The sequence below is a fragment of the Homo sapiens genome, chromosome 14 (genome assembly GCF_000001405.40).
Source record: "Homo sapiens chromosome 14, GRCh38.p14 Primary Assembly".
Classification (NCBI taxonomy): domain Eukaryota; kingdom Metazoa; phylum Chordata; class Mammalia; order Primates; family Hominidae; genus Homo; species Homo sapiens.
In genome coordinates this window covers 76,129,142-76,146,786 of record NC_000014.9, presented here as the reverse complement: position 1 = coordinate 76,146,786, position 17,645 = coordinate 76,129,142, and the positions used below count along the sequence as shown (strand labels likewise).

Here is a 17,645-nt window from a genome sequence, read left to right as displayed (position 1 = left end):
GATAGAATCTCACTCTGTCACCCAGGCTGGAATGCAGTGGCACGATCATGGCTCACTGCAGCCTCGACTTCCCTTGGGCTGAGGTCATCCTCCCACCACAGCCTCCTGAGTAGCTGGGACTACAGGTACGCGCCACCAGGCCGGGCTAATTTTTGTACTTTTTGTTTGTTTACGTGTTTGGGGTTTGCTTTTTGTTTGTTTTTTTTTGTTTCGAGACAGTCTCATTCTGTCACCCAGGCTGGAGTGCAGTGGTGTGATCTCAGCTCACTGCAACCTCCGCCTCCTGGGTTAAAGCGATTCTTGTGCCTCAGCCTCCCTAGTAGCTGGGATTACAGGCACACACCACCACACCCAGCTACTTTTTGTATTTTTCAGTAGAGACAGGGTTTTGCATGTTGGTCAGGCTGATCTAGAACTCCTGACCTCAAGTGATCTGCCTACCTTGGCCTCCCACAGTGGTGGGATTACAGGCGTGAGCCACCGCGCTTGGCTGTTTTTGTACTTTTTGTAGAGACAGGATTTCACCGTGTTGCCCAGGCTGATCTCAAACTCCTGGGCTTAAGAGATTTGCCCACCTCGGCTCCCAAAGTGCTAGGATTACAGGCATGAGCCACTGTGCCCAGCCAAATATATTTTTTAAACAAATAATTAATAATAAATAAAAAATCTTCCACTGCTGATTTATTACATTCCCTGCACTTATAATAAACCTAAAGTCCTCACTATGGCCTGCACAGTCAGGTATGATGTGGGCCCTGCCTGCCTCTGGTCTTGACTCTCTTCCCTGTGCCCACAGTACCAACCCACCATGCTCTTTTTCCACCTTCCCCAGGGCCTTGACATGCTGTCCTGCACCTGAGAGCATCATTGAGGCCTTGGCTAAAATATCACCTCCACAGAGAGGACTTTTCTAATAGGATCTAAAGTACTTTCTATCTCATCGTCCATTCTGTGCAGCTATAACAAAATACCATAGACTGGGTGATTTATAAAGAGCAAAAATGTATTTTCTCATAGCTTCTGGAGTCTGGGAAATCCAAGATCAAGGTGCTGGCAGGTTTGGTGGTCTGATGAGGTTCACTCTTTGCTTCAAAGATGGTGCCCCGTTTCTGCATCCTTTGGAAGGGAGGAATGCTGTGTCCTCACATGATGAAAGGCAGAAGGGCAAGTGAGCCAACACTCTGTAAAACCTCTTTTATATGAGCCTTAATTCCATTCATGAGGGGAGAAGCCCGCATGACCAATTACCTCTTAAATACTCCACTTCTTAATAAAATCACATTGGCCATTAAGTTCTAACACCTGAATTTTGGAAGATACATTTAAACCATAGCACCTGGTATATTTCCCTTATGGCACTTATTATAGTCCAACTTCATCCTATTTCTTTGGTACTTATTTGTTTGTACTCTGTTGCCTCCCACCAGGATGTAAGTTTCATAAGAATAAGGACGGTATCTGTCCTTTCACCTTTGTATCCCCCTGGAACCTACAACAGTGCCTGTCACATAGTAGGTGCTCAATAAACATTTGATGAATGAATGGATTCCTCATCCTCTCTCCATAATTTATTTCCATTTTCCCCTTTTCCTGGCTCAGATCTTCTCTGAACAGATCCAAGACATCTGGAAATCTTTCCAGAAAGTTTTTCCAGCAGCCACTGGAGAGATGTTACTAACAGAAACAGTGTCCACCAAGGAGGACAGGAAGTGTTAGCATATACTTGGAAAGTGAGTGACACCTGGCAACTTGTCCGCCTCCCCTACCCCTGGTACTCCTGGTGCCTTCTCCTTGGGATTATAGGAACCTTCCCTGGAGGCAGGAATGCAGGAGTGGGGAGATGCTGAGCACTCCTTGGCAGCAGTGATAACAGAAACACATCTCCTGTAAAGCACACCAAGAGGGGGACAGTGAGGGGTTGTGCTGGGACCCAGGGCAGCAGCCAAGGAGCAGGTGGCAGTAGACAGAGGTTCGCCAACTCCTCCCTTGCCACGCCTCCCATGCTCTCTCACTTACCCTCCTCAACTCTGTTGAATTTAGGGATTTTGTTGAAGTAGCATTTACTAAAAGCTTACTGTAGTCCAAGAATCATGCTGAAGACTAGATTCAGTATTTCATTTAATCCTCTCAATAACCGTTTTGATATTCATGGCTATAGCACCTATAATAAAGGACAGATTAACAAAAGCAAAGCATACAAATTTATTTAAGATAAGTTTTACCTGACACAAGAGCATTCAGAAATGAAGACATTAAAAAACAGGGAAACTGTATTTTTATGGACACTCATTCAGATGTATGATTGCAGAAAAAAGGATATGATCTAATGGTAATAAACTCGGAGAAACTTAGCAAAGCCCATTTATTCAGATTCTTTTTGGTGTCTTTGCATCTTTGAGGATAGGGACATTCTTCTTCTCCAGGTATAGGGAGGATGCCTCTGGAATGAGGGTCCTATGACCTATTTTCAGGGAAGGTCAACTTGGTTTTATGGCCCATTACAGGGGAAAGGAAGTGAGAGAAATTCTTTTTAGTTTCTATGGGCTGTTTCTGCTATTTCTTCTATGGCAAAAGTGCTATATTTAGGAGTAGTGTGTCCTGAACCTCACCAATTTTCATATGTTTTACTTTTACATATGGCAGAAATCCTGCAATACATTTATATTTCTTTTCTTAAACAGTCAATTATTACCGAAAGAGATTTTTTTAAAGAAAAGATATTTTACAGTTTCATAAATACCACTTTTGGTGCTTTTCATTCCTTTGTATATCTCATGATCTCTATTTGGTATGATTTTCTGTCTGAAACTTTTTTTTAACATTTCATGTAGTTCTTGTACATTTGTGATAATTCTGTCAGCTTTGGTTTCTTGTAAAGTCTTTATAATTGTCTTCATTTTTGAAAAACGTCTTTGCTGGGTATAGAATTCTATGTTGACAATGTTTTTCTTTCAGGACAGTCATATGCTACATGATGACGTTTTGGTCAATGATGGACTGCATATACAATGGTGGTTTCATAAGAATATAATACTGCATTTTTATTGTATTTTTTCTATATTTGGACATGGTTAGATACACATATACCATTTTGTTACAACTGTCTACAGCATTCAGTACAGTAACATGTTGTACAGGTTTCAGCCTAGGAGCACAGGCTATCCGTCAATGTGTTGCAGGCTATACCACCTAGGCTTGTATTACTAGGTTCTATAATGTTTGTACAACAAAATCACCGAACGACGCATTTCTCAGAATCTATCCCTATTGTTAAGTAACATGTGACTGCACTTTAAAGATGTTGCTCTGCTGTCTTCTGGCTCACATTATTACAAAGATTAAGTCTGTTTTTCTTCTTATCTTTTTTCCTCTATACATAATGTCTTTGTACTCTTGCTGCTGTTAAAATTTCCTCTTTGGCCAGACACGGTGGCTCATGCCTGTAATCCCAACACTTTGGGAGGCCGAGGTGGGTGGATCACCTGAGGTCAAGAGTTCGAGACCAGCCTGGCCAACATGGTGAAATCCCATCTCTATTAAAAAATATGAAAATTAGCTGGGCGTGGTGGCACGTGCCTGTAATCCCAACTAATTGGGAGGCAGAGACAGCAGAATTGCTTGAACCCAGGAGGTGGAGGTTGCAATGAGCCGAGATTGCACCACTGCACTCCGGCCTGGGTGACAGAGCAAGACTCCATCTCAAAAGAAAAAAAAAAGATTTCCTCTTTATCACTAGCTTCAAGCAATTTGTTTATAATGTGAGTTGGTGTCATTTTCATAATGTTTCATAATGTTTCTTGTCCTTGGAATCATTGAGCTTTTTAATCTGTGGGTTTATAGTTTTCATGCTTTTTGCTATTATTTCTTAAAATATTTTTCTTCTCCCACTTTTTATCTATGGGCATACCTTGTTTTATTGTGTTTCGCTGTTTGTTTGTTTTTTTTTTTTTACAAATTAAAGGTTTGTGGCAACCCTGTAAACCCCGTATTGAGCAAGTCTATCAGCACTGTTTTTCCAACAGCATGTGCTCACTTTATGTCTCTGTGTCACATTTTGGTCATTCTCACAATATTGCAAATGTTTCATTATTATTATATCTGTTGTGGTGATCTTTGATCAGTGGCCTTTGGTATAACTATTATAACTGTTTTGAGACACCATGAGTTGTGACCATGTAAGATGGCAAACTTAATCAATAAATGTTGTTTCTGTTCTGACTGCTCCACTGACTGGCCATTCCCCTGTCTCTCTCCCTCTTCTCAAGCTTCCTGATATGTTGCCCAGGCTGGACTCAAATTCCTGGGCTCAAGTGATCCTCCTGTCTTAGCCTCCTGAGTAGCTGGGACTTTAGGCATGCCCCACCACACCCAGCAGCAATAAAATATTTTATAATTAAGGTATGTACATTGCATTTTTAAATATAATGCTATTGCAAACTTAATAAACTACACTATAGTATAAACAAAAGTTTTTTAGCCAACATGTCCAGCCAACAAAACTTTTATATGCACGGCCAGGCGCAGTGGCTCACGCCTTTAATCCCAGCACTTTGGGAGGCTGAGGTGAGCAGATTGGGCTCAGGAGTTCAAGACCGGCCAGCACAACATGGTGAAACCCTGCTGCTACAAAACAGAAATATTAGCCAGGCATGGTGATACACGCCTGTGGCCTTAGCCACTCAGGAGGCTGAAGTGGGAGAATCTCTTGAGCCCAGGAGGCTGAGGCTGAGCTGTGACCATGCCACTGCACTCCAGTCTCAGAGACAGAGTGAGACCCTGTCTTAAAAAAACAAATAAAACAAAACAAAAACAAGCAAACAAACAAACATTTATATGCACTGAGAGATCAAAAAAATTATGTGACTCTACTGAAATATTAGTTTCATTGCGGTGGTCTGGAACTGAAACCACAATATCTCCAATGTATGGCTATGTTTCTGGAACTCCAATTACACATATATTAGGTCGCTTTAAGTTGTTCATCTGCCCTTCCTTCCTTCCTTATTGTTTTTCTTTTTTGTTTTTTAGGGATTTTTTTTCTCTGTTTCATTTTAGATAGTTTATACTGCTGTATCTTCAAAGTCACCAGCCTTTTCTTCCACAGTGTATAACCTGTTATTTATCACATCCAATACATTTTTCCATCTCAGACATTGTAGTCATATAGAAGTTAGATTTGGAGTTTTTTTGTTTTTGTTTTTTTGAGACAGAGTTTCACTCTTGTTGCCCAGGCTGGAGTGCAATGGCATGATCTCGGCTTACCACAGCCTCCACCTCCCCGGTTCAAGTGATTCTCCTGCCTCAGCCTCCTGAGTAGCTGGGATTACAGGCATGTGCCACGAAGCCCAGCTAATTTTGTATTTTTAGTAGAGACAGGGTTTCTCCATGTTGGACAGGCTGATCTTGAACTCCTGACCTCAGGTGATCCACCCACCTCTGCCTCCCAAAGTGCTGGGATTACAGGCGTGAGCCACCGCACCCAGATTTTGGAGCTTTTTCATATCTTCCCTGTCTCTCCTTAGTATGCTCATGGATTTTTCTACCTTATTAAACATATAAAATATAGTTATAATTGTTATAATTTAATTTTCTACAAGTCAATCATCTACTGGTCCTACTAGTAGACTACTAATCTTGACTACTAGTTCTGTCATCTGTGTGATTTCTGGGTCTGCTTTATTGATTGATTTATCCGTATAAGTGTATTTTCCTGCTTCTCTGTGTCTCATAATTTTTATTGTTTTCCAGATATTATTAATTTTACCTTGTAGGATTCTGGAAATTTTTGTATTCCTTTAATTGTTTAGGTGCGAGGGTAAACACAGTCCCTGTTATTCTATTAATGCCTAAAGTGAAAGTCTTAGGTCTTGTAGTACACTGAGAGTCTTTTACTGGCTGGAACAACTGGGGTAAGGATTGGGAAATTGCTCCAATTCAGCAAGTTCTGGGCCTTTTATATTCCCTCTAAATTATGTTAATAAACTGGTAATTTTCTTCTTCAGCTCATCTTTCTCCTAGTACCTTATCAAATTCAGTTAGTAAGAGCCGTTTCATCCTTTCAGCCTTCTACCTGGAAATCTCATTGCTCAAATTCACAAGTTCATTAAGTACTTCTATCTTCCGAATTACCACAGACAACAGTTTGACCTATTATTTCGTTAGACATAATATGGGTCACCTTCTTTTCTAGCCTACTATAGTAATTTCCCTTCCTTCCTTCCTTCCTTCTTTTCTTTCTTTTTCTTTTTTTCTTTCTGAGACAGGGTCTCACTCTATGAATGGCATGATCACAGTTCACTGCAGCCTTGACCTCCTGGACTCAAGAGATCCTCCCCCCTCAGCCTCCTGAGTAGAGTAGCTAGGACTACAGGTGTATACCACTGTGCCTGGCTAATTTTTTATTTATTGTGGAGGCGGGGTCTCGCTATGTTGTCCAGGCTGGTCTCAAACTCTTGGGCTCAAGCAATCCCCCCACCTCGGCCTCTCAAAGTGTTGGGATTACTGTGCCTAGCCAGTTTCTTTATCATCTTTTCTAGCCTCTACTTGCTTTCTAATCCCAAAGCTAGTACTATATGTGTTAGAGCTGGTTTTGGTTTTGGTTTGGTTTATAGCAATGCCTGATTTCTAGGCATCAATTTAATGCTTCATAACAAGTCACCCTAAAATTTAGTTGCTTGAAACAGCACTCACTTATGACTTCTCGTAAGTTCATATGCTGGCTGGCAAGTTCTCCTCATCTGGCCTAGGCTTGGCTGATCTTAGCTGGGCTTGCTCCTGCATCTGCAGTCAGCTGGGGACTGGATGTTCTAGGATGTCCTGGTCTGGGACAACTTAACTGTCTTCCTCATGTCTCCCACATGCCTGAGATAGATGGCATAGTCATGTTCTCATGACCAGAGGCCAGCCCTAGTATATTCTCATAACCGTTGTAGGATTCTAAGAGAGGAGGCAGAAACACACAGCACTTCTTCTAGTCTCTGCTTGACTCAACCTTGTAACTGACATTGGCCAAAGCAAGTCAAGCGGCCAAGCCCAGAGTCAGTATGGAAATGCAGTAGCAAGAGGCGTAGATACACAGAGGCATGAAAAATCAGGGACGTTCACACAGTGTCTACTCCACCTGTGAAGTGGGTATTAGAATTAATATCATCATCCCCATTTTACAGATGGGAAACTGAGGCACCGCGAAGTTAAATGTCTTGCCCAAGATCTTAGCAAGGGGGTAGCTTTGAACCCAGGTGATGTGGCTCTGGAGTCCCTATGCTTTCAAGCACAGCGCTCTACCTTCCTCTGGGGACAGGCCCAGGGCATTCCAGGAGCCTCCAACCCATCTGGAAAATGGGTCATGCAGCCTCCTCTTGGAGCCCTCCAAGAAGGGCAAGCTCACCACCTGCCTGCCTCAGCCATTGCCCTCAGAGACAAAAGCCAAAGAAAGATCGGCAAGGTCTGGCTGCGAGCGGTCACCGGAGGAGGCCCCTGCCAGTCCCTGCCTCCCAGCCCTTAAGTGCCTGTGGCCGCAAAGTGAAGCCTTTCAGGGGTTAAAGGCAAGGAAGAGAGAAACAAAAGAAGGAATAAAGTCAAGAAATGTGCCATGAAGCTTCTTGCCGCGCAAAGCAGAGAAAGTCATTTCCAACTTCTTTCATCTCGTAGATGAAGCCACTAAATAAAGGGGCAAAGCGGCGAACACAAGGGCTTTTAATCTGTCTCATCTCCTTCATAATAACTGCAAATTTTCCCTGGGCCCCTGGGAGTGAGCCTCTTCCCTGCGCTCGGCCTTATCTCCCCCTCCACATTTCGCCGGCGCCGCGCCGCCCCCCGCGCGCGCTGCCCGGGCCGTCCCGGCGAGGCCTGGGGGAGCCTGCGCTCCCCGCCGCATTGTTCGGGCCGGCCCGGGGCGCGGAGGAGGGATGAAGGCCAGTCAAAGGGAAGCGGGCGCGCCGCGGCTTCATTAACGTCGGCCTTTCAGCGGCGCGCATATCAGAGCTAGGCCTTTTCACAGGCGCTAATTAGCAATTTGGAGCCTTCCCCCCTCTGGAGAGGCGCCTTCAATCTAACAAGTGGGAACGGCGCTGCGCTCCCTTTTTTCTTGCGCTTAATATTTATTGTTTTCCATTTTCTCCGTCGCCCTCGCTTCCCCCTCCCACCCTGCCGCATTGTCCAGCTGACCGCCACCAGATAAGGCCTTGGGGAGGGGGCAGGGGAGGGGGCATCATTAATCACTCTTTTAATTCTTGGCTAATGATAACTTTCTCGCACGGAGAGAAGTTAATCTTTCCTGGATGTGGAGAGGAAGGGAGAGTTGGGACGGAGCCGGGGTGGGTCAACACAGAAGGATGGCGATGATGGAAGGGGCCAGTCTAATTCTTCCTCCTCCCACCCCATTCCCCAACTTTCCCCCCCTGACCTGTTGGCATTACAACTAGATACGCTCGTTCTTCCTGCCCCGCTATCCAGCAGCAACCTTTCCCCCAAATCTGACGTATTCATCAAAGCTCAGCTCAGATACCCCCTCCTCCGTGAAGCCAACCCTGATTGTCCGGGCTGAATCTCTCTAAAATCCTATAGCGCTCTTCACACACTGTGATTATGGCGAATTCTGCCCATGCTGTGGTGGCTTATAAGTCAAGTGTAGAGACTACCAAATCTTTAAAACGTCTGTATCCTCCCTAGGACCGGTGTACAGTAAATGTTTGTGGAATCAATGGATCAACACATTTCTGACTACCACAACAGTACAGGCTTTTTTTAAAAAAAGGAAAAAGTAAAAATGGCTCACCCCTGTAATCCCAGCACTTTGGGAGGCCGAGGCAGGTGGATCACGAGATCAGGAGTTCAAGACCAGCCTGGCCAAGGTGGTGAAACCCCCTTTCTACTAAAACTACAAAAAAAAAATTAACCAGGCGCGGTGGCAGGCACCTGTAATCCCAGCTACTCCGGAGGCTGAGGCAGCAGAATCGTTCGAACCAGGAGGCGGAGGTTGCAGTGAGCCGAGATGGCGCCACTGCACTCCAGCCTAGGTGACAGAGTGAGACTCCATCTCAAAAAAATATATATATATTGCCAGACGTTTAAATAGCATTTGCCCTTGCTGCATGGCACACACTGTTCTAAGCACTTACTAATATTCACTCACTGAATCCTCATAACAACCCTGATCGGTAGATGTGGCTCCTGTTGTACAGATGAGGAAACCAAGACACAGAGAGGGTTAGTAACTTGCCTATGATCACAGAGCTGTGAAGCAGCAGAGCTGGATTCAAACTCAGGCTTTCGGGCTTTAGAGTCTGTGTTCTTAAGCCCATTGTGCTGGGATATGATCTTGGCTTCCACACGGGACTCTGCTTCTCTACCTGGGTGGTGGAGTGGGCTGGGAGGGAGGCCCATGCCAGGAGTGCAGGCCGGTGCAGAAGGGTTGGTAAAGATGGCAGATAAGCCAGGCCCTCACCTGAAAAGCCCACACAACAGTCAGACCTGACACCTGGTGTTTGGCACTTGGCCACAAAGAGAGCCCTATCAATAGTGGCCTAAGCCCTGGGCCCAGACCATGGCCAAGACCCCCTGCATAACCTGATCTCCCTTCTCACCGCAGGCCCATGCCACTCATTTCGAGACAACAGGATCAAAATTCCCAACAAACTCTGGGTTCTGTATGCAGAAGTGAGTTGAGTGGAGTGCCCTGGAGAGGGAGGGAGGGCAGGAGAGCCCCCGAAAATCCCCTCCGAATTATAAACATATCCTCTTTAAGTACATTTCTAAGGATAACATTTGTATTACTCTGTCCTGTGCCTGCAGATAGAGCCTGCTTATCTCCTGCATCTCGCTCCTTTCTCTCCACTCTGCTGGGAGCCGTCCCTATCTGAAGCCACACTGGCAATCCGCTTCCCTGCAATTGTTTCGATCGAGGGGAAAAATTAATTTCTGCCTATCGTTAATTGAGAGAATTGTGTGGAGGGCGAGGGAAAGGGAGGGGGAAGGAGAGGAAGGAAGGAGGCGGAGGGGAGCAATCGTGTTATTAACCGTGTCCCTTTCATAAGCAAATATTCTGATTGCCATCAGTGAGATGAGAGGCTTATTAATGCAGGAAGCAGAGAGGTGATTAGAGAACTTTCAAGAGCTATTGAGCTAAGCGGGAGGGAGGGTTGCAGGGATCTGGAGGCTGTGGGAATTTGGGAAGGACTGGGTTGGGGGAAAAGCCACTGGCCTTGTAGATGGGCTTTCCTGCCCCTTCTCAGCCCCTCTCCCCAGGACTCACTTTCAAACAGTCCCCAACACTCACAGCTAGAGTTGGGAAGAATGCAAAAAAGTGAGTGAAAACTTCGCAAAAGTCACTTCTCCAGGTCAAATTTTCTAGCCCCCAAATATGTTTGTCTAAGAGACTGCATGTGTGGTTTTTAAAAGTAATCAATGTTATTTATTTATTTATTAGAAATGGGATCTTGCTGTATTGCCCAGATTGGACTCAAACCCCTCCTGGGCGCAAGTCATCCTCCTGCCTCAGCCTCCTGAGGACCTGGAACTACACGTGTGGGCCACCATCTCTCGCTCGATGTGTTTGTTTTAATTATGGGATTGTACTCCCTGATTTACCAGTCCCCACCAGTTCCTGTTTACTGCCCCCATCCTGCCTCACTTGTTTATGTCCCTGCCTGGTCTGTGACATCCTTTGTGTGTGCAGCTCAGTCAGGCTGGGGCTGCAGAGCTCAGAACTGCTGGAGGCGGTTGGGGATTGAGAGGGAGGAGACGGTGAGAGGAGATGGGCACGTGGGATGGTGCCAAGGGTGGATGTTGTTGGTACCCACCTCACATTCTCCCCAACCACTTCTGATTTCAGCCATAGCTATGCTGGTCAGTGCCATGGGAACGTGTTCCAACCCAATTCGCCTCAAACAGGACCTCATATTTCTCTCAAGCTTTCTGCCCCAGGAACTTCTCCAAGGAGAAGGTGCTCAGCCCTCCAACACACCCCCCTCCACACACACACACCAAGCATGGTGCAGAAGTCTGGGTGAGTTTATGCCCCCTGAGCCAATCGGGGACAGACGTCTGTGAATAAATACCCTGGAAAAGTAACTCTGGGGGCCATTCTGTGTCCAGCTCAGAGGGCCTGGTGGAGTCGAGCCCCACTGCCTGCAGCAGCTCTCTTGAGAGCACACTCTTTCACTGGCAACTGTATCGGCCTCACTTTCCCCATCCTCACTCCTGCTACCTGTTGCCACCTCTCAAACTATCTGTACCCAAGTCTGCTCAGTTCTGCTTCCAGGGGAACACAAACTGAGACACTAGCCATATGTGTCTCTAGTACAAAGGGCAGGAGATGGTCACAAGGGAGACTGGCAAGCACTACATTAGAGAATGGCTATGGATGGTTCTGGGCGGCAGCAGGTGCTAGAGACAAAGGCATATGCTGGGGCAGAAGAGCCAAGATCAGGAGCCAAGGAGAGTAGGGAAGCCACAGGTTGAGCTCAGGTGCTGAGACAAAACCACATATGAGCCAGAGATGACAACTCCTGGAAACTGACGCTCTGTTGGGGAAAGCTGCGTAGGCAGCCCTGTGGTGGCACAGCCACAGCAGCATGGCCAGCTTCCTGGGTTGTGGCCAGACACTACATCTGGGCTCAGGGTGCTCCAGACACTAAATGGCCATCTCTAGGTGCTTCCAAATCTTCCTGACCTCTCCCAGCTGTGGACCTGAGAAATTCTCCAAGACAAACAGAAACCATGCCCAGTTCTTCTTCACACCCAGCTCTTCTAGCTCCCAGAATACTTCCCAATGTCTGTTTTCAAAGTAAGGTGCTCCCAGCTGGAGGCACAAAAGAGACAGAAGCAGAGGAATATGAGGGAGAGAGAGCTGGTGCAGAACTCAAGGGAAGGGGGCTGTGGTTATCCTGTCCCCCAAACCTCATACCCAAAGGACAACTGGCTTCTCCTCCAAGAACCAAATGTTCCCTCCCAATATATCCAGACTCCAAAAATAGGAGCGCGACCAGCAGAGGCACCAAGACCAAAAGGAGGCCTGGGAAAAATTAGGAAAGAAGAAAAGAAAGAAAGAAAAGGAAAAAAGGGAGAGAAAAGAGCGGGAGAGGCACTTGGAGATTTTCAGAACAATCTCCATTCTTTACGGTGCTTTCTGTTTAAAAAAAAAAAATGAAAAAGGAATGATGGAGAAGGGGAGAGAGTCGGACAAGTTTAATGATGTGTGTTCAAAGCTCAGATTGGAAAAATGACAGAGAAAAGCAGCCTGTTTCAGCATTAATAAATTGTTCTCTGCCGTAAGAGGCGCCTGTCGCGGCATTAATACAGGCCCCTAATACACGGGTCAGGGTTAAGTAATTCTCTCCGGCAACTTAAGCGAATAATGAAGCTGGCAGCGGCCAGTGGTGCAGTGGGAGAGATGGTCTATGCCGCCGGCACTTTGTCTTCATTTATTATGCCAGCGGCAGCATGGACGGGAAGCCTCCGCTGAGGAGATATCGCTTCATTTCGGCAAGGTAATGAAAGCCGGGTTGGGGGGAGGATAAACCAATTTGCCGGCTGACACTGGGAGAAGTGATTTGCGGACTCAAGAAGGGGAGAGGAGGGCCCATGCACAAGGAGGCACAAGGCTAAGCCATGGTGGGCCAAGGCCCTTCCACAGGCAGAGGCTGGGCAGGGGCACCCCAGTGGGGTGAGTGGAACAAAGCTAAGGGAAGAAGGGGGTAAAGTGGAAGACCCAGGTGAGTGGAAAAATGAACGGAGAACAGAGCAAAGGAAAGAAAGGTCACAGATATATGGTATCTGGGGGTAACGGATGGCTGAGGCTGGGAAAAGGGGCATTGTGGGAAAGAAAAGAAACTGAGGCAGAAGCTGAGAGTACAAGAAAAGACCAAGGCTAGTGGGGCAGAGAAAGTTGGATGGGGATTGCAGGGAGAAAGTAAGTATAGGCTGGCTGATAACAAGGTTGAAATATCTGGAGGTAAACTGTTTTTGAATGGGGAGTCTGAAGTTTGCTGAGAACATTCCAGTGGTCATACAGTTTGGCGATTATGTCCTTTATGAACAGCTCTGGCCAGTTGGCCATCAGAACCACCTCTGTTCTGGAGAACAGAAGCTGTTCTCCAGTGATGTCCTCAGGTGGCAACTTAAATTTGGGGGCTGATGGTCTGAGCTTGTGTTACTGTGGGAGTAGGAGGTGCAGTCTCTTCCTTCTGATCAGAATCGCTCACGGAAGGAGGTCCCCCAGTTATACCTTAGAAGTGGAAGGAAACCCTCTCCTGGGTCATGTGTCCAGGTGAGTCTCCCCTGCAGTTGAGTACCTCCCTCCAGCAGTCTGGCCTAATTAGTTGTCATTCTTTGTGCCAAGTCTAATTTCTTGTCCTGAGTAACAAGAAGTAAGAGCAGGACTGGTGGCTCCTGCCAGTCCTCTCATAATGTTGGTAACCATGTCTTGTGTGCAATTCAAGGTCACATCTGAACCAGGCGCCACACCCATAGAGGCAGACATAACCCCAGTGAAGTGGGTTGGGTTACGTAACTGCCCTGTTACTTTCTCCAGCACTGGCACCTTTCTTTCTTCCCTTCAGCACCAAGACTTTTGGACAGCTCCACTGAGAGCGCCAGCAAATTAAACAGGCTTTCTACCCTTATTATCACGTTTTCAAGTTCCCTAAGACCCATTCCTACCCCTTCCTCCTAAGATTAAGATGAGCAGATCCTCAGCACTCAATAAATGGAGAAGAATCTCAATCTCCTCTTCCCCACCTTCCCCTTGCCAGTGTGCTTCTCTCCTTCTTAGTCTACACCCACCCCTGCACACGTTTGTAAGCATATGCACACGCACGTGTGTGCATGCACACACTCTCTCTCTCTCATTCCCAAGTAATGCTGCCACTTTTCTCCCCTGATGTGGGTTAAGGATTTCCAATAAGAACCAAGTATTTGAAGCTTAATACTGCAGTCTCCAGAGGAGCCAGGCCAATTTCACACTAATCTAACCCATGAAGGGAGAGAGCAACGGAAGCAAAAATTACATCAAAGAGAAGTTAATGCTGAGAAGCAGGCGACATAAAAAGGAGCTACTTTCAGTTTCAAAGGACTACACCAATCTGGATTAAGAGATCAGCCTACCGAATGCCTGTATCACCATTGCTGTGTCCGGGCACCAGGCAGAATGAAACCATGTCCTCAGGGGCCACTCTGAATGGGGTCAGAGGAGAAAAATGAGGTTTCCACCCTGACTCCACATTCATTGACATAGTACATGCTCTGGGCTGGGGGCTTTTGGGAAAATAAGTTAAAGAAATATAGGAGAAAAGACTAGAAGAAAGCACATCAAAATGCTAGCTTTGTATTTAGGGGATTTTCCCCTCTTTCTATTGCTCCATATTTTCTGGAATGAAGTTTTCTTACTTTCATGGTGACAAAAGTAAAATAGATGTTCAAACAGCAATGGGACCTCAATGTGCTTTCCTCCATCTGGAATGTATATCTCTAGGCATTTTCCTTGGCACAGCACTTAGCACAGTTATGTTTATAGGTGAAAAAGCACTTTATAAATGACTGTGCAGAGGATTATGATGGTGTGGTCAGCGATGGAAAGTGATGGGGGAGCTGCAGTTTCATTCAGTAATTCTAAGACAGTGGCAGATGGCAACCTGAGAAGTTCTAAATGCTTCAATTCTCCCCCTTTTCAGGATGTGGAGGCTCAGTGCTGCTAAACCCCCAGCACTCTGCTACAGCCAAACTGAATGCCATTTGTTGAATGAGCAAAGAAATGAACGAAAGAAAAAGCGACGATCTTTTCCATTTCATCTGACCACCGACAGTATTGCTCCAAAGTAGTTTGACTCCATCCTTCCTTTTGCACAAGGCCCCACTGCTCCCTCCCAAACAGATGACCTGGAGACCAGGAAAGAATTCTTGTCAAGCTCCCAGACAAAGGTTGCTCAAACAGCCAATACCCCTTGCCCCGAGAGACCACCAATCTGTCTCCATCTGCTGACTGCTGGGCTTCTTCCAAATCCTTGAGCCTGAAGTCCACTGACCTGGGGGAATGACCCACAAGACAGAGAGAAGTGGAGGGACATCAAGAATGATGGGCCCAGCCTGTGGTGCCTCTGGGGAGGAGCTGCTTGTCATCCCATTTTAAGTGGAGCTGAAGGGAGACCGGCCTCCTGCCCACCCCTCCTCTTGCCCACCCGAGGCGGCAGCCTGACAAGTGTAAATCCCAGAATGAATGGAGGCGCCCGGCCCGTGGAGCCGGTGTCTCCGCGGGCATCTCCGCGCTGATTGACTTGTCGCCTCTGCGAGGCTGACTCTATCAGCTCCTCGGCTCCTCCAATTCCAGGTGTGATTTAGTTTGGAGATGAGAGGTGACAGTTAACATTGGTACTCGTCACTGTAGATCAGACCGCAGTCACGCTGTCTTCCCCCTCCCCAGCCCGCCCCCTCCCTCCTCCGAGGCGCCAGGGTCAGCGCTCCCGCCCAGCCCACCGACGGGCAAGCGAGGCTCCCTTCCACAGTCTGCATTCCCCAGGGCTTCCTCAATGCCAACACCTTCCTCCGGCCTGACCGTCACTGTTTCCCAAAAGCCCAGGCATCCTTGGCTTCCCTGGAATCCCCGGATGGTTTTTCTTTCTGTCTTCTCTCTCCTGGTTAGCCTAGCCTCTGAGCAACCTCAGTCTCCGCTGGCTCCCTGCACAGGATCCCCTGCAGGGGCCAGAGGGATGTTCACTGGGCAACGTGTCCTCACCAAATGCAGAGTTTGGAAGAGATGCGAGTGGATGAGAGCCAGGGTGAGCTGGATCCAGCACTGCTCTGTACATTGTAGAATAAACTTGTGCAACCACCACTCAGATCAAGATATAGAGCAGTTCCAACACCCCAGAAGTGTCCAGTGTCCAAGGGAGGCTTTTGGGGGTCAAAAACTTGTCAAAGGAAGACTTGGGTGAGATACGAGCAAAACTTCTCAGGCCATGAAGGACCCAGAAGGTGGGTGGGAAAGGGGGAGAGTTCCCTGGATAAAGAGCTACTCTTTTCTAGGCTTCTGGAAAGTGAACTGTTGAGTGAGAGGAGGGATTTTAGCTGTGGCACTGTCAGAGGGTTCTCTAGAGATGCTTCAGGGGTCACTGATGAGGGTCTCTAGGCGGTGGAGTGGGCAGCCTCAGTGGTTCCACCTATGTCTGTGTCATTCACTGGGCTTCTCTGCAGGATTTCATTTGAAAGAAAAGTTCTGTGGTGGAAATACTCTCTGCTCTCCTTGTTGTGCCACATGGCCTCTGTTGCACTAACATATATAGATTCTATGACCACTGTCTCTCCCTGCAGACCCTTCTTCACTCCTTCCCACTTTCACTGAGCCTCACACTGTGCTGGGAATAAAGCTGTCACCTTCTCAACAGAGCACATTCTCTACTGCCAGCCCACACACACTCCAATTCTGACTCCAGGCTTATCTGCCTTGGAGCTGCTGAGAGGAACCCAGATTCCTGCCTTTGGGTTCCCTATCTCCTTGAGAAACTGCTGGAGGGAGGGGCTGCAGGAGTTTTCCTGGGCACAGGTAGAAAAACAGAGAAGGGAGGGAACCTTGGTTAGGTTCATTCTCTTTGTTACAGTTTGAATGTGTCTCCTCCAAAATTCAGGTGTTGCCAATGTGACAGCAGTAGCTAGTGCGGCCTTTAGGGAGTGATTAGGGCAGGAGGGCTCCTGCCTTGTCAATGGGATTAGCCGCCTTTATAAAGAGGCTTGGTGAAGGGAGTTGGTTTCTCTCTTGCCCCACCCACCTGCCTTCTACCTTGTGAGGGCACAGCATGAAGGCCCTCACCAGACAGATGCTGATGCCTTGATCTGGGCCTTATCCTCCGGCACTGTGAGAAATAAATGTCTGGTGTTTAAGGCACCCAGGCCATGGCATGTTGTTATGGCAGCCCAAATGGGCTAAGACATCAGGCTTGTCTAATTTTGAGGTCTACACTATAGAAAACCACATTCCCCGATTGATTTTTTCCCGTTTTAATATTAAAATTTAATTATAAAAGTAATAGTAAAATAAATTATCATTTAAAAAATAAAACATAAATGATAATGTTTGACCAACCTTGAGTCTTGGTCTCTTCCTGTTCTCCCAGAGGTTATCACTGTGAGCAAGTTGGTGCGTAACCTTCCAATGATTTTTCTATGTCCTTACATACATATGTGCATACCCTGTAGAAAAAGACATATTATTATGCTGCAGTGATATTTTGTTCTTACATAAATGGCTTTCTATGTGTTGTTTGACTTTCTTTTTTTTTTTTCTTTTTGAGACGGAGTCTCACTCTGTTGCCCAGGCTGGAGTGCAGTGGCACGATCTCAGCTCACTGCAACGTCTGCCTCCTGGGTTCAAGCAATTCTCCTGCCTCAGCTTCCCCAGTAGCTGGGATTACAGGTGTGCGCCACCATGACTGGCTAATTTTTGTATTTTCAGTAGAGACAGGGTTTCGCCATGTTGGCCAGGCTGGTCTCAAACTCCTTACCTCAAGTGATCTGCCCTCCTTGGCCTCCCAAAGTGCTGGGATTACAGGCGTGAGCCACCACGCCCAGCCTGCAACTGACTTTCTTTGCTCAGAATTCTGTTTACCACTGCATGGTTTTCGCTCTATTTGGGGCTAAGCCATCCCTATTAATGGACT

The 17,645-nt window shown here is 46.8% G+C and overlaps 2 annotated features.

Moving 5' to 3' along the window:
* Positions 7,548 to 8,276: an enhancer, noted in NCBI's record as "OCT4-NANOG-H3K27ac-H3K4me1 hESC enhancer chr14:76604854-76605582 (GRCh37/hg19 assembly coordinates)". NCBI's record gives its function as "activates a minimal SCP1, AML or CMV promoter by ChIP-STARR-seq in naive H9 embryonic stem cells {active_cell/tissue: H9 hESC(naive)}" and the evidence as "EXISTENCE:reporter gene assay evidence [ECO:0000049][PMID:30033119]".
* Positions 14,686 to 15,185: an enhancer, noted in NCBI's record as "H3K4me1 hESC enhancer chr14:76597945-76598444 (GRCh37/hg19 assembly coordinates)". NCBI's record gives its function as "activates a minimal SCP1, AML or CMV promoter by ChIP-STARR-seq in naive H9 embryonic stem cells {active_cell/tissue: H9 hESC(naive)}" and the evidence as "EXISTENCE:reporter gene assay evidence [ECO:0000049][PMID:30033119]".